The following is a 23,168-nucleotide window of genomic DNA, read 5'->3' as shown; positions in this document are numbered from 1 at the left end:
CAGGAGACACAGGGACTCTGCCCTGCAGTGTGGAAGGCATGTGTGCCCCGGCCCCACTGCTGACTTGGGGATGCAGGTCTGCACCTGGGGGAGGTGCCCGGGGCCTATGCTCGTGCCCCTGACCTTGCATTGGTCCCTCCCTCGCCCCCGGCACTGCCCCAGCTGGTGTGGGCACCCGGCCTGTTGAGAATGGAGGCTGTCACTCCAGTCCTGCGTCCTGCAGGCCCCAGGACCTGATTCCGGGTTGTCGGGAGCCCCTGTAAAGCTCATCAAAGGTGTGGCACAGGGGCAGCCTCTGCTTCAGGCACAGCTGAATCCTGCTTCCCAGCAGGAAGGCCTGGCCCGGGCGCCCTGCCGTCCCTGACTGGGTGGATGGAGGTAGCTGACACTTTTCCCACATAGGGTTCCCTGAAGGGAAGCTTAGGACTTCAGGTGGGGTGTGGCTGGGAAGAGCAGGACTGGCGAGCGTGACCCTCCCCGTGGCTGCGTGTGCTCTGAGCTGCTCAGTACCACAGCGGCTGTCGCCTGTCCTCCCTCGGACAGTGTGGATAAAGCCCACTCAACCTGGGGCGGGGAGGAGGTCACCTTCTAGCTCCAGCACTCGCAAAAGATGCACCTGACCTGGGGTGGGCTCTCACAAAGCCTCAGACTCGAAGCCAAACTCGGCTCCCAGCAGCTCCGGGTTCAGGGAGGTGACCCTAGCAGGTCTCTGGGAACACCCTCTCCTAACCCCCCAACCCAGGGCAGGAGGGATCGCCGGACAGAAGCACGTGCGGAAAAACCCGCACCTTGACCCAGGTCAGCCTGGTATGAGGGTGACTTAGTGACAAACAGATGGGACGGTGCTGTTGCAGGGCACAAGGCTGGCCCCAGACACCAGGCACCACATGGGGCCGGGCCATGGGCAAGGTGCACTCTCAGAGAAACACAATGTTTTCGGAAAAGACAGACAGAGCAGCTCAGGGCTAGAGAATAAGTTTATACACTGCCTCGTTAGGTCCAGGGGCCCGCGCACGTGGCCAGGCGGGTGGTCCTGACGCTTCAATTCATTTACAAGTATTGGATTCCACGCCTGCTCCTGTGCCCGCAGGCTTCCCCAATAGGCCAGCAATCTCAATAATGCTTTATTAAAGGGCAGATTCATATGCGGCTCTTGGGGGAATTTTTACAAATATCAAAGGAACTAATCCAGCATCCTATATAGAACTCTGCACACTTTGGGGAGGTCCGTGAAGCAGGACAAAGTGCTCTTTACACAGGAATTGAGTCGGTTCAAGTATCTGCTCTGTGGGGAGGACACCCTAAGCATTCTACATACGTCACCCCTGCTCTCAGGATGCACCCAGTGGGCTCGCGGTCAGGGTGGCCTTGCCGGTGTCCACCCCCACACCACCCCCAGCTCCGGAAGCGGCTCCACACGGGGCTTGGACCTCTGCAGGGCAAGAGAGGGAGGGTCTTGAGCTGGCTGGGCCCTCTGGGCTCCCTGGGGGAAGACCCCACCCTGCTGCCTCATGGGGCCTGCAACAACCCCAGGGCGGGACCCTCCACCTGACAGTGGGGACAGGCAGAGGCTGGGGCGTTGTGCCTCTTCTAGAGGTGACCTGCTCACCTGCTCTCAGGTTGACCCTGCCTGCCCCCCACCACCCGGGCACACTCCTCCCACGCAGCCTGCTGCAGGGCCTCTGTACTTCCTCTTTGGCGAGTGCTCCAGAAATCCACCTGGCCCTCCCTTGCTGCCTCAGTGCAGCCTTCCCTGACCCCCATCTAACGTCACAACCACCTGAGACTCCCAGCATAGGCCCTTGTGGCTCTGCGGCCAGAACGATGCCTGGCATGGTCAGCACCCACGGCCCAGCCCGCCCGAGGATGTGGCAGGGCAGGAGCCACTTCCAGCTGCAAGCCCTCCTGGCTGCTCACAGTGGAGCTAGTCTTAGGCAGCCCCATCCCTTCTCTGTTGAGGTTTACCTCCAGCGCCCACCTCACCAGTGCGTTCTGCTATCTACAGCCCTTCTCACCCGCAGCATCCGGGACATCCACGATCATACAGTCGCCCTCCTCCTCTTCCTCCTCCTCCGTGTCTGCCTGGAAGCCGTCCATGTCTTCAGCACCAATCTGGACAGACAGGGTACACGGCCATCAGCACTGCAGGCAGCAGCCACCCTGGTGCCAGTGCGGTAGCGGGGGGAACTCCACAGGTGTGACACCTTCCTCCCACCCCCAACACGGAAGGAAACCAACATCCAGAACCCAATTTGGTAACAAACTGTCCAAATGTGAGAGGTTTATTCAAGAGGCCACAACCAGAGAACCTTGGGGGTTCCCTCAAATGAACTGGATTCAGATCTCCAAAAACAGCCATCATTGCCAACTGCAGAATAATTTCCAGTCAGTGACAGGCCGCATACCTGATAGTGGCCCCATCAGATTACAACTGTATTTATTTATTTTTATTTTTTTTTGAGACGGAGTCTCGCTCTGTTGCCCAGGCTGGAGTGCAGTGGCGCGATCTCGACTCACTGCAAGCTCCGCCTCCCGGATTCACGCCATTCTCCTGCCTCAGCCTCCTGAGTAGCTGGGACTACAGGCGCCTGACACCACGCCCAGTTTGTATTTTTAGTAGAGACGGGGTTTCATCGTGTTATCCGGATGGTCTTGATCTCCTGACCTCGTGATCCGCCCGCCTCAGCCTCCCAAAGTGCTGGGATTACAGGTGTGAGCCACCATGCCTGGCCTTTATTTTTTATTTTTGAGACGGGAGTTTCACTCTGTCACTGAGGCTGGAGTGCAGTGGCACAATCTCAGCTCACTGCAACCTCCGCCACCCGGGTTCAAGCGATTCTCGTTCTTCAGCCTCCTGAGTAGCTGGGATTACAGGTGTATGCCATCACGCCCAGCTAATTTTTGTATTTTTAGTAGAGACGGGGTTTCACCATGTTGGTCAAGCTGGTCTCAAACTCCTGACCTTATGATCTACCCACCTCAGCCTCCCAAAGTCCTGGGATTACAGACAACTGTATTTTTATTTAATATATATAAATCTTGAGACAGAGTCTTGCCATATATCCAGGCTGGAGTGCAGTGGTGCGATCTTGGCTCACTGCAACTTCTGACTCCCAGGTTCAAGTGATTCTCCTGCCTCGGCCTCCTGAGTAGCTGGGATTACAGCCACCTGCCACCACACCCGGCTAATTTTTGTATTTTTAGTAGAGATGGGGTTTCACCATGTTGCCAGGCTGGTCTCGAACTCTTGACCTGAAGTGATCCGCCTGCCTTGGCCTCCCAAAGTGCTGGGATTACAGGCGTGAGCCACTGCCCCAGCCGCAACGATATTTTTGCTGTGCCTTTTTTTTTTTTTTTAACAGGTGCCCGCCACTACGCCCAGCTAATCTTTTGTATTTTTAGTACAGACGGGGGTTTCGCCATGTTGGCCAGGCTGGTCTCGAACTCCTGACCTCAGGATTCGCCCACGTCAGCCTCCCAAAGTGCTGGGATTACAGGCATGAGCCACCGCACCTGGCCTCTGCTGTGCCTTTTCTATGTTAAAGACACATATACCACTGGGTTACAAGTGCCTGCAGGATGGAGCAGTCAGTCACCTGCTGCACAGGTCCACAGCTCAGGAGCCCTGGGCTATGTACCACACGGCCCAGGCGTGTGGCAGGCTGTCCATCTAGGATGTGTAAGAGCAACCTAGCCCCACCCAACCATGAAATTGCCTGAGGACACCTCTCAGAACACGTCCCTGATGTGAAGTGATGACTGTGACTTGTGAATTATTATTATTATTTTTTTAGACCTCGACTCACTGCAAATTCCACTTCCTGGGTTCACACCATTCTCCTGCCTCAGCCTCCTGAGAAGATGGGACTACAGGCACCCGCCATCACGCCCAGCTAATTTTTTTTTTTTTAAGTAGAGACAAGGGGGTGTCACTATGTTGCCCAGGCTGGTCTCAACCTGGGCTCAAGCCATCCTTCCACCTCGGCCTCCTAAAGTGCTGGGATGACAAGGTGTGAGCCACCGCACCTGACCCTAGTAAGATTCCTGAGCTGTTTCCATTTGCTTTCACCAAAGGAGAAAGACAGGATGCGTAGAGGCCACCATGAGCCTCCACGTCAGTGCTTACCCTCTCTGTGCATGAACACAAGCCCATCCCAGGACAGACAGCCACACTTATTTCAGTAGGGAGGATAGTCCTCAAAAAATTCCAGGAATTCTTCCTCTACAAAAACCTAGAAAAGTGACCGCACAGCAACACAACGGTCAGGCCATAGACTGGTTTCATGGGCTGTCATGTAAGAGCACAGTGCCTGGCCAGGCAGACTGGGTTCCTACCGTAGCCTCATCAATTCCTGGGTAGGGGCTCCCCTCCTGGATCCTCTCTTCAGTGGCTGGGAGCCCAGGCTGTCCCTCTCCCCAGGCAGCATGGGTTGACCCTGTGAGGACACAGGAGAAACATCTTGCTCTGTCACCCAGGCTGTGGTGCAGTGGTGCAATCACAGGTAACTGCACCCTTCAACTCCTGGTCTCAAGTGATCCTCCTGCCTCAGCCTCCCAAAGTGCTGGGATTACAGGCATGAGCCACTGAGCCTGGCCTACGGCCATTTTCAACTACCTTTTTGAAAGAATAGTTAAGCAAAGAAGAGTCTAAGAGTCCCCTGTAGACGCTGCTGAGGAGGGACATTCTGATCTGGAGGTGTCTGGGGACGTTAAACAAAAGAACATGCCAATTTCTTCAGAGCCACCTCAAGTCACTGGGCCCTCCCTCCACACAGGAGACGCGTTGACACATTAGGCTTTTCTTGGATCCAAAATTTTTCAGAGCAATCACCACTCTTCACCCTCTAGGCTGAAGACAGGATTTAACACATAACACCGAGTCCCACTGTGCTGAGCTGCCGGCAGCTTGCTTCACGGGGACAGCTGTCATCTCGCCAGCAGCACTGCAAGTGCTAAACACAGACACGGAGGAGCGCAGACTACGGAAAACAGGAGTCAGGAAAACGTTTAACGACTACATGGGATGAAGATGGTGTCACTAACATTTGTGCCTTTTTGTCTTTTTTTTTTTTTTCTGAGACGCAGACTTGCTCTGTTGCCCAGGCTGGAGTGCAGTGGCACAATCTCGGCTCAACTGCAACCTCCACCTCCTGAGTTCAAGTGATTCTCCTGCCTCGGCTTCCTGAGTAGCTGGGATTACAGGCGTGCACCACCATGCTCAGCTAATTTTTGCATTTTTAGAGATGGGGTTTCACCATGTCGGCCAGGCTGGTCTTGAACTCCTGGCCTCTCAAGTGATCCGCCTGCCTCGGTCTCCTAAAGTTTTGTGATTACAAGCGTGAGCCACTGCACCCAGCCATCTATGCTTTTTTTTTGAGACAGAATCCCGCTCTGTTGCCCAGGCTGGAGTGCAGTGGCGCGATCTCGGCTCACCGCAAGCTCCGCCTCCCAGGTTCATGCCATTCTCCTGCCTCAGCCTCCCGAGTAGCTGGGACTACAGGCAGCCGCCACCACGCCTGGCTAATTTTTTGTATTTTTAGTAGAGACGGGTTTCACCATGTTAGCCAGGATGGTCTCAATCTCCTGACCTTGTGAGCCACCCACCTCGGCCTCCCAAAGTGCTGGGATTACAGGCATGAGCCACCACACCCGGCCATCTATGCTTCTTTAGTTTTATTTTGATCACATAATGTTTTGTTGGCAAGGGCAAACACATCCTTCCTTGTATTTTAAAATTTTTAAATAAAACGGAGGCCCGAAGAGTTGAGGTGTCCTAGGGCTTCACAGATACATGGCACTTCACCCCACTAGGTCAGAATGCCTTAAGAATATCTCTTTTGAGCTCTAAGTAAAAAGATTTAAAGACTCCCTGGCTCAGGTCTGTAATCCCAGTACTTTGGGAGGCCGAGGCAGGTGGATTGCTTGAGCCCACAAGTTCAAAGACCAGCCTGGGCAACACAGCAGGACCCAATATCTACAAAACAAAACAAAACAAAACAAAAAAACCTCTTCTTGCATGAACATGGATGAAGCTGGGAACCATTATCCTCAGCAAACTAACGCAGGCACAGAAAACCAAATATCACATGCTCTCACTTATAAGAACATGTGGACACAAAGAGGGGAACAACAGACACTGGAGCCTATGTGACGGTGGGAGGGAGAAATTCAGAAAAAATACCTTAGTACCCAATAAATCATCTATACACCAAACCCCCGTGACATGAGTTTGCCAACCTGCACATGTACCCCTGAACCTAAAATAATAAAGGGCAACAGGGCAAGACCCTGTTTCTAATTTAACAACAAGAAAAGATGCCGGGCGTGGTGTCTCACGCCTGTAATCCTAGCACTTTGGGAGGCCGAGGCGGGCAGATCACAAGGTCAGGAGATCGGGACCATCCTGGCTAACACAGTGAAACCCCGTCTCTACTAAAAAAATACAAAAAATTAGCTGGGCGTGGTGGTGGGCGCCTGTAGTCCCACCTACTTGGGAGGCTGAGGCAGGAGAATGGCGTGAACCCAGGAGGTGGAGCTTGCAGTGAGCTGAGATCGCACCACTGCACTCCAGCCTGGGCGACAGAGCGAGACTCCGTCAAAATAAAATAAAATAAAATAAAAAAGATGAAAACTTTCAAATTGGGAAAAAAAGTGTAACCGAGTAAAAAATATGGATGTACACCACTTGCAGATGAATGGCTTATCCCTCCCCTTGGGTGCAGAAGCATCAGTCAGCAGCTTTATTAAATGCCAGGAGGCTGGAGAGAGGATCGCTAGAGCTCAGGAGTTGGAGACCAGCCTGGGCAACATAGACCCTGTCTCTACAGAATATTTGAAAATTAGTTGGGCATGGTGGCACGTGCCTCTATACTCCCAGCTCCTTAGGAAGCTGAGGCAGGAGGATCACTTGCGCCCAGGAGTGGAGGCTGCGGTGAGCTGTGACTGCACCATTGCACTCCGGCCTAGGTAACAGAGTGAGACCCTGTCAAAAAAAAACAGAGGATGCCAGGGCACATGTCCCATCCGGGCTCATGTGCTTCCACAGCCCCACCTTTGGGTCCCACCTGTGTGCCCCTCCCCACACAAGCTCTGAAAAAAAACACAGGACCAGACCCTGCTCCCCAGGGACGTTTATGTCCCAAACTGCAGGAGGTTCAGGGGTGGGGGTTAAGCATCAAGCTGGGCCTGGGTCTCCATTCCTTCACGTGTGACCTTCGTGCGTCCGCTGCACTGCTGAGCCCCAGGAGGCCCTCACCTGTGCCACGCAGCAGAGGCCACCAATCACGCGCATGTGGCCACCACTGCCATCCATTAGCAGGTGAGATGCTGTGTTTTGCTAACTCCAAGGCCCACCCAACCTCTCTGACCCACTCTAGTTAAACTGGGTGCACCCTTCTTTCCTTGTGGTTAGGGATGATAAACAGGCACTCACTGCCCCCGAAGCACAGTAACTCTGATGTGGTGCTGGGCACATGGGGCTCAGGGCGCTATTTTCCGGGTGGGGAAACATGGGTTCCACATGTTGACAGGGAGCAAGAGCAGTGTTTGGGAGGACCAGGGGCGGGGCACTGCACCCCAGCTGGGAGAGGCAGCTGCTGCATCAAATCAGTGGAGAGGGGTGGGGAAGGAGGCCGTCCAGGGCCTGGACTACTGTGTGGAGCATGAGGAGACCCCAAAGGAACATCTGAGGGACACAGGGGTTCCCAGGGGAGGGCTGATCAGCAAAGGCCCTGGAAAACTGCTTGCATAGTGACACAACCAGATAGTACCTTCCCGCCCCGATCATTTTCAGGCTGGGGAGCTCCGGTTCCCTCTAAGGCTGCTCAGGTGACCAGGGAAAGGCACTGCTCACACAGGGCTTGAACAAAGAATGCATCCAGCAAAGCTCTGTGTGGGGGCCTCCTGTGGCCCCAGCTCCAATGCACTGAGCTTCCCACGGCGCCAAGCCGCCTCCACAGAGCCAGGGGAACTATGCACATGACACACTGTACAGGGACAGAGGCTCTAGGGAGTGCCAGGAACAGTTTCAGTCGTAGCCCTGGACCCTTTGGGATGTTATGATGGCCCCTCCTGCTGTGACAGCTGAGGGAGATTCACAGCATATTAAGGCCCATGGCTGTGTGCTGGCAGCAGGGAGATGGCTGAGCATCATCTCAGGAGCCATTTCTCTCGCCTCCCTGCCCCTAACGACCACCTTTTCTTTTCTTTTTTTTTTGGGGGACTAGAATCTTGCTGTGTTGCCCAGGCTCGAGTACAATGGTGTGGTCTCGGCTCACTGCAACCTCCACCTCCTGGGTTCAAGCGATTCTCCTGCCTCAACCTCCCGAGTAGCTGAGATTACAGGCACCTGCCACCATGCCCAGCTAATTTTTGTATTTTTAGTAGAGACAGGGTTTCACCATGTTGGCCAGGATGGTCTCGAACTCCTGACTTCAGGTGATCTGCCCGCCTTGGCCTCCCAAAGTGATGGGATTATAGGCGTGAGCCACTGTGCCCAGCCAACGACCACCTTTAACATCAGAGAAGAGGATGCAAGCTGGGGCCGGGGGTTATCCACTGTCTTGCTCCTTGTCCCAAGTCTCTGAAAACCTGTAACTCCATCAGATCGTGGCCTTGAAGGAAAGCCCAAGGTTCACAGGGACAGATAGGTCTGCGTTAAGTGTAGATATTAGAAATCAAACTCAGGGAGCCAGGCACGGTGGCTCATACCTATAATCCCAGTACTTTGGGAGGCAAAGGCAGGGGGATTGCTTAAGCCCAGGAGTTGGGGACCAGCCTGGGCAACATGGTGAAACCCTGTTTCTACAGAAAATTAGCTGGGTGTGGTGGCATGCACCTGTAGTCCCTCTCAGCTACTGAGGAGGCTAAGGTGGGAGGATCGCCTGAGCCTGGGGAGGTCAAGGCTGCAGTGAGTGGTGATCACGCCACTGCACTACAGACTAGGCAACAGAGTAAGACCCCTGACTCAAAAAAAGGCCAGGACAGGCGTGGTGGCTCATGCCTGTAATCACAGCACTTTGGAAGGCTAAGGCGGGCGGATCACGAGGTCAGGAGATTGAGACCACGGTAAAACCCCGTCTCTACTAAAAATACAAAAAATTAGCCGGGCGTGGTGGCGGGCACCTGTAGTCCCAGCTACTCGGGAGGCTGAGCCAGAAGAATGGTGTGAACCCGGGAGGCGGAGCTTGCAGTGAGCCCAGATCACACCACTGCACTCCAGCCCGGGCAACAGCGCGAGACTGTCTCAAAAAAAAAAAAAAAAAAAAAAAGGAAAAAAAAGAAAAAAGAGAAACTCACTTCCGAACACTGTGTGGTAAGGACAAAAAGTATGCAATGAACGTTAACAAAGCCGATCTATGGCCAGGGGTGGGTGCCAGGGGCCAGTGGCTCTCTGGGCATGAGAGTTTCTTAAGACCAGACAGTGCCCCCATCACACACCCCAGGGCTCCATGCGCTTGTGCCTCCGAGGCACCCATAAGGCTGGAATCACACAGCCATTCATTCCCCTTACAGGCTCCTGTCTGTGCCTTACACCGGGCGGTGTTCTGCATATACCTGTGTCTGAGAGACCGATCAGAGTGCCTGGAGCACAGTAAGTGCTTAATAACTGTGCTTGAATGCAAAATTCAAGAACCGTTGAACAAAAATAAAAATGCTACCACATGGAATATTATTCAGTGTGAAAAAAAAAAGAGCTATCAAGCCACAAACAGACACGGAGGAACTGTCAACGCATACTGCCAAGTCAAAGGAGCCACACACGATGCGATTCCAGCTACAGGGCAATCTGGAAAAGGCTGATCCACGGAGATAGAGAGGTTGGTGATTTCCAAGGGATTGGACGGGCAGAGCACAGGGGCCTTTCAGTGGGGAGAAGCCTCTTTGTTTAAAACAATAAAGGTAGACGCACAGCATCCAACATTCATTCAAATCACAGAACCCTCAACACCAGCAACAAACCCTAGTGGTGGTGATAAATCAACGAAGGTGCGTTTTATGTATTTATTTTTAGAGACAGGGTCTTGCTCTGTCGCCCAGGTTGCAGTGCAGTGGCATGATCATAGCTCACTGCAGCCTCAATCTCCTAGGCTCCAGTAATCCTCCCGCCTTAGCCTCCTGAGTAGCTGAGACTACAGGTGCATGCCACCGCTTGGCTAATCTAAAAATTTTTTCTTAGAGATGGGGTTTTGCCATGTTGCCCAGGCTGGTCTCCAACTCCCGGGCTCAAGTGATCCTCCCGCCTCAGCCTCCCAAAGTGCTGAGACTACAGGCGTGAGCCACAGTGCCTGGCCTGAGGTGCACTGATTGTAACCAATGCACCATTCTGGGAGGTGATGTTGGGTGGCTTGGCTTGGCTTTGGGGAAGGAGGTGTATGGGAACTTTCTGTACCTTCCAATCGATTTTGCTGTGACCCTAAAACTGCTCTAAGAGTAAGGTTATTTAAAAAACACAAAAACACCAGGCGAGGTGGCTCACGCCTGTAATCCCAGCACTTTGGGAGGACAAGGCAGACGGATCATGAGGTCAGGAGTTCGAGACCAGCCTGACCAACATGGTGAAACCCCGTCTCTACTAAAAATACAAAAATTAGCCAGGCATGGTGGCGTACACCTGTAATCCCAGCTACTCAGGAGGCTAAGGCAGGAGAATCACTTGAACCCAGGAGGGAGGAGGTTGCAGTGAGCTGAGATTGCGCCACTGCACTCCAGCCTGGGTGACAGAGCAGGACTCCATCTCGAAAAAAAAACAAAACAACAAAAAACAAACAAAAAAAGAAAAGCCCTGCAGAGGCCCCCACCTGCCCACCCCACCTCACCTGGCCGTCGTGCCTGCGCTTCTTCATGAATTGGGTGATGCACATGCTGCCCGCTGACTTCCTCTTCAGCGAGATGGGAGTGCCCTGGCTGGGCCCCGTGGAGGGGACGCTGCCACTGTCCTCTTTGGGGGCCGAGGGCACCGATGTCACATAGCTCCACTGGCACGGCACGGGCAGGTGCTCCTGCTGGAAGCTCTGTAGCACCTGCGGGTGCACGTACCAGCACATCCTGAAGTCAGGCCGCTTCTCATACACTGAGTTCTCGGAAATGAGCCGCTTGAGCCGGGACTTAGAGGGGATGGCGGCATCCTCGCTGGGGGTGGGGGTGTGCAGGTAGGTGGTGGAGGGGCTCCGCGGGCTGCCGGTGTGGTTGCTGAGCAGTCCCCGGCGGCAGTGCTCCTGGAACTCCCGGATGATGACCTTGCTCCCGTTCACATTGCCGTGCAGGAGCGGCAGCAGCTGGGCCAGGACTGGCAGGAGGGAACATGGGTGGGCATGAGGCTTGGGGAGCCACCCATCACCACAGGCCAAAAAACAAAACACATACACAAGCTCATTGCCACCGAGGCTTGGGGCATGGCCAGCTTCGGGGATAGGTGGCCTCATGAGGGCGGGTGTAAGACAGGGTAGCACCTACGCACCTGCCCAGAAGTGAGCCTTGGCCGGGCACGTGTGTTGCCAGGGCTGACTTCAAATGCCTGCTGTTCCTACCCAAATGACTGCCCTGCTCTCCTTGTGTGCCATGGTCCCTCCCCAGTTTTTTGAGTTTTTTTTTTTTTTTAGACAGGGTCTTGCTCTGTCACCCAGGCTGGAGTGCAGTGGCAGGATCATGGCTCACTGTGGTCTGAAACTCCTAGGCTCAAGCAATCCTCCCACCTCAGCCTCTTGAGTAGCTGGGATCACAGGTGCGTGATACCACACCCAGGTAATTTTGCATTTTCTGCAGAGATGGGGTTTTGCCATGTTGCCCAGGCTGGTGTCGAAGCACTAGGCTCAAGCGATCCTCCCACCTTGGCCTCCCAAAGTGCTGGCATCACAGGCATGAGGCACTGTGCCCGGCCCCTCCCTGGCTTTTGAGAAAGCACAGCCCCCACTCCAGCACTCTCTGTGCCTGTGTCCTGGTTGATAAAACAAGCCAATTAAGGGACCTGCCTCGTCCTGCTGCTAGGGACATCATTGAACGTACGGACATGTACAGGAAAAGGGCTGGCCTCTGTTATTTGTGGAAAGAACATTTGCATCACGGACCCACTAGCCTGTGACTCTTGCCCTCAGCCCTGGAATTAGCTGGGCCCAGGAACAGGTGGGTGGCCTGGCCCCGCCCACACTCACTCTGCTCGTCTCTCCTCTCCCGCTTGGAGGCCTTGGGCGTCTGCTCCTCCTGGGCCGGCAGGGTCTCCAGGAAGCAGGCTGCGAACTGCTGCAGTACCTTCAGGTCATCGCCTGCGCAGTCTCTGTCAGCCGCCCACACGCAGCCGATCTTCACAGGTTGCAGGACGCGAAAGCGCTTCCCCTTAGCCAGGAACTCGTCCCACTCCTTGGCCTTCAGTTTCTGGCGGACCTTATGGTTCTCAGGGTCGGCACACTCCTTGTGGTTTAGAAAGCAGAAGTTTATTTGGGGTTCTTGCTCCCCTATGCCCGGGCACTCTTTTGAGGAACCAGTCCCCAGCCAGCTGGGGAGCAAGAGGAAAGGACAGGGGCACAAAACTTCCCACAGTGTCAGGGCCAGGGCAGAGCACACCATGCGCTGGCTGCCCCTCTTCCAGATGGAATAATTCACACCTGGTCTCCTTTGGGAGCGTCACAGATATTTCTGAACTCACCCATGAGGCCTCTTTTAACACCCCTCTGAATTTTCTGGTGAATGTGTGATCGTGGAGCCGTTTAACAGGGTTGGGTGTCTACCCACATGGCCCAGGCATCTGGCAGACACATGCAGGGCCTGAGACCACTCTCTGACTGACAGTTCAGGCCTCGGTGGTCAGATATGCACAAGGAATGCCTAGGCCTCCAGTCCAACCATGAGACAGTCCCACCAAATCCCCACTTCCCAAACGACAGGCCTTCAAAACAAAACAGGACCAAAAACAACTTGCTTGAAAGCAAGTTCCTGCCGGGCTCGGTGGCTCATGCCTGTAATCCCAGCACTCTGGGAGGCCGAGGCGGGTGGATCACTGGAGGTCAGGAGTTCAAGACCAGCCTGGCCAACATAATGAACTCCCGTCTCTACTAAAAATACAAAAATTAGCCAGGTGTGGTGGCACACGCCTGTAGTCCCAGCTACTTGGGAGGCCGAGGCAGGAGAATTGCTTGAACCCGGGAGGCAGAGGTTGCAGTGAGCCAACACCGGGCCATTGCACTCCAGCCTGGGTAACAGAATGAGAATCCGTCTCAAGAAAAAAAAAAAAAAAGACAGTTCCACAACCTTATGGAATCTGGAAAGGGGTGGCAGGCAGGTTCGCCTGCAGAGACGTGGGCAATCTTCTGGAGAGATAGGGAAGTTCTGTTTTATTTCGGGCGGTGGTTGCCCACATTCACTTGATTGTTACGTCATCAAACTCAACACTTACAATGCACATGTCTTGCTGCATGCTGACTGTATGTCAGCTCGGGTGGTTTCCAGCCTTCTAACCCACAGACCATGGCCACGCTCCCTCACCAGGGTGTCTGCTCCTATGGCTCCCCTCGCTTGCAAGCTCCTCCTACGTCTGCCACCCTCCCAGGTAATACCAAGTTCAGGCCCAGCTGTTCCCACGAGTGAGCTTGCGTGCTTGGAATGCAGTCCAAATCTCGTATGGTTGGGCTGGGACCCCCGTCACCCTCCCAGGTCAGGCCACTGAGCACCAGTCCAGAAATGAACTTTTGCTGAGCCGGTGACCTCCCCCTTCACTCCCTCACCTCTGTCACACCTTCGTCCTCAGACAGGTACCCATGGGGCACAAAGAAACCATCGTCCTCATCTTCATCCTCTCCCATGTCGTCATCATCATCCTCAAAAGGAGAAAAAAAAAAGAGTTCATCAGATAGAAAAGCAGAGTGTGTGCCTTATTAAAAACAAAGTAGGCCAGGCGCAGTGGCTCACACCTCTAATCCCAGCACTTTGGGAGGCTGAGGTGGGCGGATCATCTGAAGTCAGGAGTTTGAGACCAGCCTGGCCAACATGGTAAAACTCTGTCTCTACTAAAAATACAAATCTTGGCTGGGCATGGTGGCACGCACCTATAATCCCAGCTACTAGGGAGGCTGGGGCAGGACTATCACTTGAGCCTGGGAGGCAGAGGTTGCAGTGAGCCGAAATCGCGCCACTGCACTCCAGCCTGAGTGATAGAGTGAGACTCCATCTTAAAGAAACAAAAAAATGTAAAGCTGTGAACATCTGCTTTGCATGGCCTCCCGACAGACACGGTGAGCATCGGCAGAAAGCCCACTAGGTCACAGCAGCTGGGCAGTCAGGAGGAAATGGTGTGCAGCAGGCCCGCAGGAGGCAAGAGGGGGCTGTGGGGCCACGGTGCAGATGCGGACGGGATCCCATCCCCAGCAGCCACGTGGGCGAGTGTCACCAGATGAGATTTTTCGAGAGAAGCTGGAAGTCTGGATGTTGAGGTGCGTTCAGGTTTCAGACCACACAGCAGGTCAAACACCAGCTGTCAGTGAGTGAACACAGCTGGGCTGCATCCTTAGCCCCTCACTGTGGGACAGAGACTCAAACACAAGCCGTCTGTGAGTGAAGACAGCTGGGGCACATCCTTACCCCCTCACTGTGGGACAGGGACTCCCCAGGCTCCTCTTCTTCCCACTCCTCATCACTGTCCACCTCATAGTCCAGGAGCTTCTGAGAAAAGAAACACATGGGACTCACAACTGTCTTTGGGGCTGGAGGAAAGGGGCACAGTGAGGAGGTACGGGGACGGAGGCACTCTGGGGCTAGCTCACCGTGTCCTGGGCCCAGGGGTCTCGCGCGCGGATGAGTGCCGTCTTCTTATTCCAGGTACCCCAGTAGGCAGGCCGGTGGTTCTCACAGAACTGCAGGAGCTTCATCCTGCCAAACTTCCTCCTCTCGGGAACACCGTCGCCCTTCCCACGCTCCACGATGACGACATCACTGAGAAGGAAAACCCCAGGCTCAGGATCACGCTGCCTTACAGACCTGCTCACAAACCTCCCAGGAACCTCCCTGTGAAGCTGGCCTAACAATTCTAGAAAGATGGGCATTTGTTAAAAAGCAGCACTGCCTGTCCCCAAAGAAAGGTCAGGAACATGGACTGAAGGGACAGATGGAGGAGGGTGCAGCCTGCAGGGTGAGAGGGAGGACAGCTGCCCAGGTGCAGCCCCAGAGCATTTTTAGCAAGGGAGGTTCTGTGGAATGAGATTTGCAAGAGCGAGGTGTTGGGGGGTATCCTTCACTGGAGACCAGCAGGGAAATAAGATTCCTCCACGAGGAGCTGGGAAGACAGGGAGAGGAAGACTTCAGGAGCTTACAGGAAGGCCAGGTGGAGAGAGGCCTGAGCCAGCACCGAAGCCCAGGGCCCGAGGGCACTAGGAAGCAAGCAACAGAAGGACCCAGAGCTCCCACCCCGGGGACCCCAGGGTTCAGGATGCTGGCCTCCAGCATCACTAGTGGGTGAAGGCCGACCTCCTCAGGCTCTGACCTGTTAAAAATATCTGCATTCCGGGTGGAAACGTGCGTGGGTCCGGACCTCAGGGGCTGCCGGCCTTTGAGGTCTTTCAAGAAGGAGAACTCGCCGCTCTGCTGCTGGAGGAGCTGGTCCAGCTGACTGCAGAGGTCTGGATGGAAAGCGGTCCGACGCCGAGGGGCCAGGACCATGTGCTCTTTAATTTCAAAGGGGGCAAACTTCCCACAGGAGCCGGCCAGGGTCTGAAATCAAGAAGAGACCCGATGGGGTCTTCGAGCAATGGGAGAAAGGAGGCACCATGGACGCACACAGCAGGGTGCTGGTGGGATTCATCCAGGCTAAGGCCAAGGCACAGACTCAAAAGCCCAGGCACTGTGTGGGTCCACAGAGCCGAGTTTCCAGAGCTACAGGGCAGAGGGCAGATTGGCAGTCTCAAGGGCCGGCGGTGGGGGGACAGACTACAAGGGAGCTGTTTTGAGTGATGGAAATAGGGTTTATCTTCATTATGGTTAGCTGGCCCTGTCATTTGTCAACACAAATGTCCTGAAAAGAGTTTATTTTATTGGATGTAAATTATATCTCAACAAACCTCACTTAAAAAAAAAAAAAAAAAAGGCCGGGGGCAGTGGCTCATGCCTGTAATCCCACCACTTTGGGAGGCTGAGGAGGGCGGATCACCTGAGGTCAGGAGTTCGAGACCAGCCTGCCCAACATGGTGAAACCCCATCTCTACTAAAAACAAAAATTAGGCCAGGGGCAGTGGCTCATGCCTGTAATCCCACCATTTTGGGAGGCGGAGGAAGGCGGATCACCTGAGGTCAGGAGTTCGAGACCAGCCTGCCCAACATGGTGAAACCCCATCTCTACTAAAAACAAAAATTAGGCCAGGGGCAGTGGCTCATGCCTGTAATCCCACCACTTTGGGAGGCTGAGGAGGGCGGATCACCTGAGGTCAGGAGTTCGAGACCAGCCTGGCCAAGATGGTGAAACCCCGTCTCTACTAAAAATACAAAAATTAGGCCAGGCGCGGTGGCTCACGCCTGTAATTGTAGCGCTTTGGGAGGCCGAGGCGGGTGGATTGTCTGAGCTCAGGAGTTCGAGACCAGCCTGGGCAACACAGTGAAACCCGGTCTCTACTAAAATACAAAAAATTAGCCGGGCACGGTGGCATGCACCTGTAGTCCCAGCTACTTGGGAGCCTGAGGCAGGAGAATTGCTTGAACCTGGGAGGCAGAGGTTGCAGTGAGCTGAGATCGTGCCACTGCACTCCAGCCTGGGGGATAGAGCAAGACTCCATCTCAAAAACAAAACAAAACAAAACAAAAATTAGCTTGGCATGGTGGTGGGCACCTGTAGTCCCAGCTACTCAGGAGGCTGAGGCGGGAGAATCGTTTGGATCTGGGAGGCAGAGGTTGCAGTGAGCCCAGATCACGCCACTGTACTCTAGCCTGGGCCTGAGGCAGGAGAATTGCTTGAACCTGGGAGGCAGAGGTTGCAGTGAGCCGAGATCGTGCCACTGCACCACTCCAACCTGGGGGATAGAGCAAGACTCCATCTCAAAAACAAAACAAAACAAAACAAAACAAAAATTAGCTTGGCATGGTGGTGGGCACCTGTAGTCCCAGCTACTCAGGAGGCTGAGGCAGGAGAATCGTTTGGATCTGGGAGGCAGAGGTTGCAGTGAGCCCAGATCACGCCACTGTACTCTAGCCTGGGCAACAGAGCAAGACTCCTTCTCAAAAAAAAAAAAAAAAAAAAAAAAAAAAAAAGACAGGGTCTTTTTTTGAAAGATCACAACTCCTCTTTTTTTTTTCTGAGATGGAGTCTCGCTTCATTGCGCAGCCTGGAGTACAGTGGTGCAATCTCGGCTCACTGCAACCTCTGCCTCCTGGGTTGGGCGATTCTCCTGCCTCAGCCTCATGAGCAGCTGGGATTACAGACGCCTACCACCACGCCCGGCTAATTTTTGTATTTTTAGTATTTTTAGTAGAGACACCTTGTTGGCCAGGCTGGTCTCAAGCTCCTGACCTCAGATGATTCACCCGCCTTGGCCTCCCCAAATGCTGAGATTACAGGCATAAGCCACCGCACCTGGCCAAAAGGAGAAATTTCAGTATAATGAAAGACACTGTAGCTGGGCGTGGTGGCTCACACCTGTAATCCCAGCACTTTGGGAGGCCGAGGTAGGCGGATCACCTGAGGTCAGTAGTTCAAGACAAGCCTGACCAACATGGAAAAACCCCGTCTCTACTAAAAATACAAAATTAGCTGGGCGTGGCAGCACATGCCTGTAATCTCAGCTACTCGGGAGGCTGAGGCAAGAGAATCATTTGAACGCAGGAGGCAGAGGTTGTGGTGAGCTGAGATCATGCCACTGCACTCCAGCCTGGGCAATGAGCGAAACTTTGTCTCAAAACAAACAAACAAAAAACAACAAAGGCCGGGCACGGTGGCTCACACCTGTAATCCCAGCCCTTTGGGAGGCCGAGGCGGGCGGATCACAAGGTCAGGAGATCGAGACCATCCTGGCCAACACGGTGCAAACCCCGTCTCTACTAAAAATACAAAAAATTAGCGGGGCATGGTGGCGGGCGCTTGTAGTCCCAGCTACTCGGGAGGCTGAGGCAGGAGAATGGTGTGAACCCAGGAGGTGGAGCTTGCAGTGAGCCGAGATGGCACCACTGCACTCCAGCCTCAGCAACAGAGTGAAACTGTGTCTCAAAAAAAAAAAAAAAAAAGACTGTAAACAAAGAGGTAACAGGCTGAGACGAAATATCACGGAGAATGAAATACTAGACTATGTTAAAAAAAACTTACAGATCAGGCAAAGAAAAAAAAAGAAAATCCTGTAGAAAAATAGGTAAAAAAATAGGAATTGGCAAGTCATAGAAGAACTAAAATGGCAAACGAACAGAAAAAGATGCTCAACTGCACCAAGAGTCAAGTAAAAATGGAAAGTAAAACAATGTCAATTTTTAAAAATCCATCAGACTGGCAAAGTTAAAAGAAAATTAATCCCATAAAAATTGCAGTGATAGCAGAGAATGGGGAGGAAATTTCCACACATCGCCGGGAATGTACATCTGAGTTTCCCATCTGGCACGCACTCTGGCCATGGCTCATGATGCTTCAGCAATATGCTATTTTGTCCTAGAGGTGAACTCATGCTTACTTGGCTGTCCCAGAGGAATGCATGTGTGCAGAGAAGCATGTGCAGGGACCCCCCCTACACCACTGAGGGGCAAAGAGGTTGAGATAGTGGCAGGCTCTGTGGCTCATGCCTGTGATCCTAGCACGGTGGGTGGCCAAAGCGAGAGAAATGCTTGAGACCAGGAGGTCGAGACCAGCCCTGGCAACACAGTGAGACCCAGTCTCTACTAAAAATAAAATTAGGGAGGCTGAGATGGGCAGATCATCTGAGGTCAGGAGTTCAAGACCAGCCTGGCCAATATGGTGAAACCCCGTCTCTACTAAAAACACAAAAAATTAGCTGGGAGTGGTGGCAGGCACCTGTAATCCCAGCTACTCGGGAGGCTGAGGTAGAAGAATTGCTTGAACCCGGGAGACAAAGGTTAGAGTGAGCCGAGAGATAGCGCCACTGCTCTCCAGCATGGGTGACAGAGCAATACTCCGTCTCTAAATAAATAAATAATTTTTGTAAAAAAAGAGAGAAACCATATCATTGCATTATGAAGTATTATGCGGCAGTGAAAATACATGATGTGGATCTCTGGCTGTCACAATATGATGTGTAGGTACAACAATGTCACATTGTGCACCTTCAGGATACACAATTGCCATCAAATGTCTCAACATACAAATAAAAGGACAGGCCAGGTGCAGGGACTCACACCTGTAATCCAAGTGCTTTGAGAGGCCGAGGTTTGGAGGATCATTTGAAGCCAGGTCGTCGAGACCAGCCTGGGCAACATAGCAAAACCCAGTCTCTACAAAAAAAAATTAAAAAATTAGGCCGGGCACGGTGGCTCACGCCTATAATCCCGGCACTTCGGGAGGCTGAGGCGGGCGGATCACCTGAGGTCAGGAGTTCAAGACCAGCCTAGCCAACATGGTAAAACCCCGTCTATACTAAAAATACAAAAATTAGCCAGGTGTGGTAGCATGTGCCTGTAATCCCAGCTACCTGGGAGGCTGACACAGAAGAATCACTGGAACCCGGGAGGTGGACGTTGCAGTGAGCTGAGATCGCACCACTGTACTGCAGCCTGGGTGACAGAGTGAGACTCCATCTCAAAAAAAATAAAAATAAAAAATTAGCCAGGCATGGTGGCACATGCCTGTAGTCCCAGCTACTCGGGAAGGCTGAGGTGACAGGATCACCAGACCCTGAGAGGTCAAGGCTGTGGTGAGCTTTGATTGTGCAACTGCACTACAGCCTGGGTGACAGTGAGACCCTGCCTCAAAAAATAAATAAAGGCCAGATACATTAAAAAGAATGAAATACATCTAAATGTGGCAACATGGCACAAATCTGAGATAGCTAAGTACACATGTGTATAAATACAGTGAGTGGAGCAGGGAAAGGCACTGAAGGACCCCTAACATTGGAGATGGGCTCCCTCTGGGTAAAGGGGAAGGAGGGCTGTGGTTTCCATGCACAGATGGTGGCTCAGAAGGTCTGAGATGCCAGGTGACCGACGCCAGGCAGGGAAAGTAAACCTTTGTGAATTGTACTGTTGTTTTACAGCTAAACGTGCTCCCTCCTTAAGCCTAAGTTTCCCAAGGGTAAAAACATGGTGAATTTCTCTTACGCCTAACACAAAATTATTCATGAAGTAACCTCTGAAAACAGCACTGTTTAATCAGACATGCCACTTTTTACCTCTTTGGGACAAAGCGAAGGACAAAATATTGAGCCTCAAGACTTAACCAGAAATGGAAGTGCCCTAGGTCACTGGAGGCTCCCTCCCTCCTAATGAGAGAAGCTGGCTGGGGAGAGACCCTTTCACTTTCAGAAAGGAAAAGTCTAGCAGAGCTGAAACCCAAAAGCAAAGGCAGCCGGCTGCTCACCTTGGGGGCCTGTGGAGTCTTTGGTTTCTGGAAGAACCTCGTGATTTCGGCCTTCTCTGCTTTAATGCGCTGTGATGTTAAGAGATGGTGATGAGAAAGAGGAGAGGAAGAGGAACAGTATGTGTTGCAAAACATGCAAAGGCCCCCAGAACCGAACGTCAAGCATTTTAGCTTGAAGGCACTACTGTGATTTTCAGCTCTCAAAACCCACGGACCCGCAACTGAGCCAGCCAATCTCAAAATGTCCAAGTTGCCCTTGTGGGTAGAAGTGCCAGGATTGCAGGGCCAGTAGGCATGTGACAGCCAGCACTGGGAAGAAGCAACAAGAACGCATCTAGACAGACTCGCCCTCCCTGCGGGCGCCATTTGGTTTCCCCAAACCAAGAGAATATTAGGTGACGGCTGTGGCAAGAATTCCACTTTGGGCATCTGCTTCTCCAACGGGCTGGGACGGGGAAGCTCTGTGGGAAACACTCTACCTTCTCTTCTTCTCTTAACCGTTTCTCTTCTTCCTTTTTCCTTTTTTCCTCAAGTTTAGCCCTGTGAGACAGCAAATGACATTTCAGCCGACTCTTTGCTTTGGCTCTGGAAGGGACCGCAGCACTCAACTGTTAGTATATGGCAAGTATTTCATTTTACATTAAATGAATATAAGTTATTTTCATGTCTAGTATAAGGCTTTTACATAGGTCTTCACAATAAAAATGGAAAACAGTCAATAAAATTCTTCCTGTGACTAGAATATATATAAAAAACTTTAGCCAGTCAGAGCACAATTAGCACAGACAAAACCCACAATCCTGCAATGCAAATGCCTAAGTTGGTTGGGAACTGGAAGGATGGTCACAGCAGAGACAAGGGGTCCAGGGTGAGTTGGACGTGGGGGAGCACTAAAGAGCAGGGAGCTGCTTTCCACCGCTCCCACGTCAGGGCCCCACGGGCACCTCACGAAGGAGAAATGGGAAGGAACTGAAGGGAGCCGCCATCTGCCTGTGAAGTGGAAAGGCCCCATCAGAGTGGCCAGGAGCGGAATCCAGCAGCAGGGTGGCGGGCCCAGCATGGCCTCCAAGGACACTCACTCCAGGGCTTCCTGTCTCTCCTTGCGCCGCTCCTCCTTGAGCCGCTGCTTCTCCGCCTTCTCCTTCTCATCCTTCTCCCGCTTCTCCCGCCTCTCCTTTTCCTTAAGCTCCTTCTCTTCCTCCTTCTTCTTCTTGGCCTCCTCCTTGGCCCGCTTGGCCTCCTCTTTCAGCTTCTCCTTTTCTTCCCTTTCTGCACGTAACTTGAGCTGCTTGCCCAGACGCTCCTGATCCTACAAGACAGTGTGGCAAGTGACAGGTGGCCCTCCCTCCAACTCCCAGGAGGAAGCTCGGTTCACAGCATGGAGGACAGCACGGCCTGGACGGGATGAACAGAATTGAGGGACCAAGGCTAGGCATGGTGGCTCACGCCTGTAATTCCAGCACTTTGGGAGGCTGAGGTGGGTAGATCACCTGAGGTCAGGAGTTTGAGACCAGCCTGGTCAACAGGGTGAAACCCTGTCTCTACTAAAAATACAAAAATTGGCTGCGCGCGGTGGTTCACGCCTGTAATCCCAGCACTTTGGGAGGCCGAGGCAAGTGGATCACCTGAGGTCAGGAGTTCGAGACCAGCCTGGCCAAGATGGTGAAACCCCATCTCTACTAAAAATATTTTTAAAAAAAACTAGCCAGGCATGGTGGGCGCCTGTAATCCCAGCTACTGGGGAGGCTGAGGCAGAAGAATTGCTTGAAACCAGGAGACGGAGGTTGCAGTGAGCCAACACGGTGCCACTGCACTCCAGCATCAGTGACAGAGTGAGACTCCATTTAATAAAAAAAAAAAAAAAAATTAGCCAGGCGTGGTGGAGGGTACCCGTAGTCCCAGCTACTCAGGAGGCTGGGGCAGGAGAATCACTTGAACCAGGAGACGTAGGGTGCAGTGAGCTGAGGTCACACCACTGCACTCCAGCCTGGGCAACTGAGACTCAGTTAAAAAAATAAATGAATAAATAAGAATTCAGAGACCAGCTCCAGGAGGAGCCTCCAGTCAACAACTTTACACAGAAGTGATTTTATTTTTCTTGAGACAAAGTCTACTCTGTTGCCCATGGTGGAGTGCAGTGGTGCAGTCATAGCTGGCTGCAGCCTCGACCTCCCAGGCTCAAGTGATCCTCCCACCTCAGGCTCCTGAGTAGCAGGGGCTATAAGCACACACCACTATACCCAGCTATTTTTGTAATTTTCCTAGAGATGGGGTTTTGCTGTGTTGCCCAGGCTGGTCTTGAACACGTGGCCTCAAACAATCCTTCTGCCTTAGCCTCCCAAAGTGTTGGAATTATAGGCATGAGCCCCAGCACCCAGCCACAGAAGTGATTTTCATAATCCATTATGCTTCCTTCCATCATGAGAAAAATGTTAAGAATTAGCCCTGTGTCCTGGTACTTGTGGGAAATTCAATATAAGATTCATTTAAAACACAATCCTGCTGGGCTGAGGGGGCTCACACCTATAATCCCAGCACTTTGGGAGGCTGAGGCAGACAAATTGCTTGAGGCCAGAAGTTTGAGACCAGCCTGGCCAAGAAGGTGAAACCCCAAGTCTACCAAAAATACAAAAAAATTAGCTGAATGTGGTGGCGCACACCTATAGTCCCAGCTACTCAGGAGTCT

The 23,168-nt window shown here is 52.9% G+C and overlaps 1 protein-coding gene across 9 annotated transcripts in view, besides 4 other annotated features; it reads right to left on the bottom strand.

The window, feature by feature from the left end:
• CHAF1A (chromatin assembly factor 1 subunit A) overlaps nt 1–23,168 on the bottom strand; it is a 48,191-nt gene that overhangs the window by 6,474 nt on the left and 18,549 nt on the right. For 5 of the 9 annotated variants that reach the window (NM_005483.3, XM_011527607.3, XM_047438011.1 and 2 more), the window contains 11 exons: nt 21,562–21,791; nt 20,962–21,022; nt 20,483–20,551; nt 15,467–15,693; nt 14,751–14,919; nt 14,569–14,649; nt 13,716–13,808; nt 12,150–12,405; nt 10,818–11,287; nt 2,016–2,112; nt 960–1,432 (listed from right to left, as the gene is read on the bottom strand). In NM_005483.3, coding sequence (NP_005474.2) covers nt 1,332–1,432; nt 2,016–2,112; nt 10,818–11,287; nt 12,150–12,405; nt 13,716–13,808; nt 14,569–14,649; nt 14,751–14,919; nt 15,467–15,693; nt 20,483–20,551; nt 20,962–21,022; nt 21,562–21,791 — 1,854 coding nt within the window. In that variant the 3' untranslated portion in view covers nt 960–1,331. Of the gene's footprint in view, nt 1–959; nt 1,433–2,015; nt 2,113–10,817; nt 11,288–12,149; nt 12,406–13,715; nt 13,809–14,568; nt 14,650–14,750; nt 14,920–15,466; nt 15,694–20,482; nt 20,552–20,961; nt 21,023–21,561; nt 21,792–23,168 lie in introns of those variants that run through there. The other 4 variants (XR_007066505.1, XR_936135.3, XR_007066507.1 and 1 more) reach the window with 1 other exon arrangement.
• Nucleotides 91–385: a silencer, noted in NCBI's record as "tiled region #9621; K562 Repressive non-DNase unmatched - State 14:Gen5'". NCBI's record gives its function as "represses a minimal TATA promoter and a strong SV40 promoter by Sharpr-MPRA in K562 cells {active_cell/tissue: K562}" and the evidence as "EXISTENCE:reporter gene assay evidence [ECO:0000049][PMID:27701403]".
• Nucleotides 6,677–7,177: an enhancer, noted in NCBI's record as "H3K4me1 hESC enhancer chr19:4437177-4437677 (GRCh37/hg19 assembly coordinates)". NCBI's record gives its function as "activates a minimal SCP1, AML or CMV promoter by ChIP-STARR-seq in primed H9 embryonic stem cells {active_cell/tissue: H9 hESC(primed)}" and the evidence as "EXISTENCE:reporter gene assay evidence [ECO:0000049][PMID:30033119]".
• Nucleotides 7,178–7,678: an enhancer, noted in NCBI's record as "H3K4me1 hESC enhancer chr19:4436676-4437176 (GRCh37/hg19 assembly coordinates)". NCBI's record gives its function as "activates a minimal SCP1, AML or CMV promoter by ChIP-STARR-seq in primed H9 embryonic stem cells {active_cell/tissue: H9 hESC(primed)}" and the evidence as "EXISTENCE:reporter gene assay evidence [ECO:0000049][PMID:30033119]".
• Nucleotides 12,864–13,627: an enhancer, noted in NCBI's record as "H3K27ac hESC enhancer chr19:4430727-4431490 (GRCh37/hg19 assembly coordinates)". NCBI's record gives its function as "activates a minimal SCP1, AML or CMV promoter by ChIP-STARR-seq in naive H9 embryonic stem cells {active_cell/tissue: H9 hESC(naive)}" and the evidence as "EXISTENCE:reporter gene assay evidence [ECO:0000049][PMID:30033119]".

The sequence above is a fragment of the Homo sapiens genome, chromosome 19 (genome assembly GCF_000001405.40).
Source record: "Homo sapiens chromosome 19, GRCh38.p14 Primary Assembly".
Taxonomy (NCBI): Eukaryota; Metazoa; Chordata; class Mammalia; order Primates; family Hominidae; genus Homo; species Homo sapiens.
This window is presented reverse-complemented; position numbering and strand designations above follow the sequence as displayed.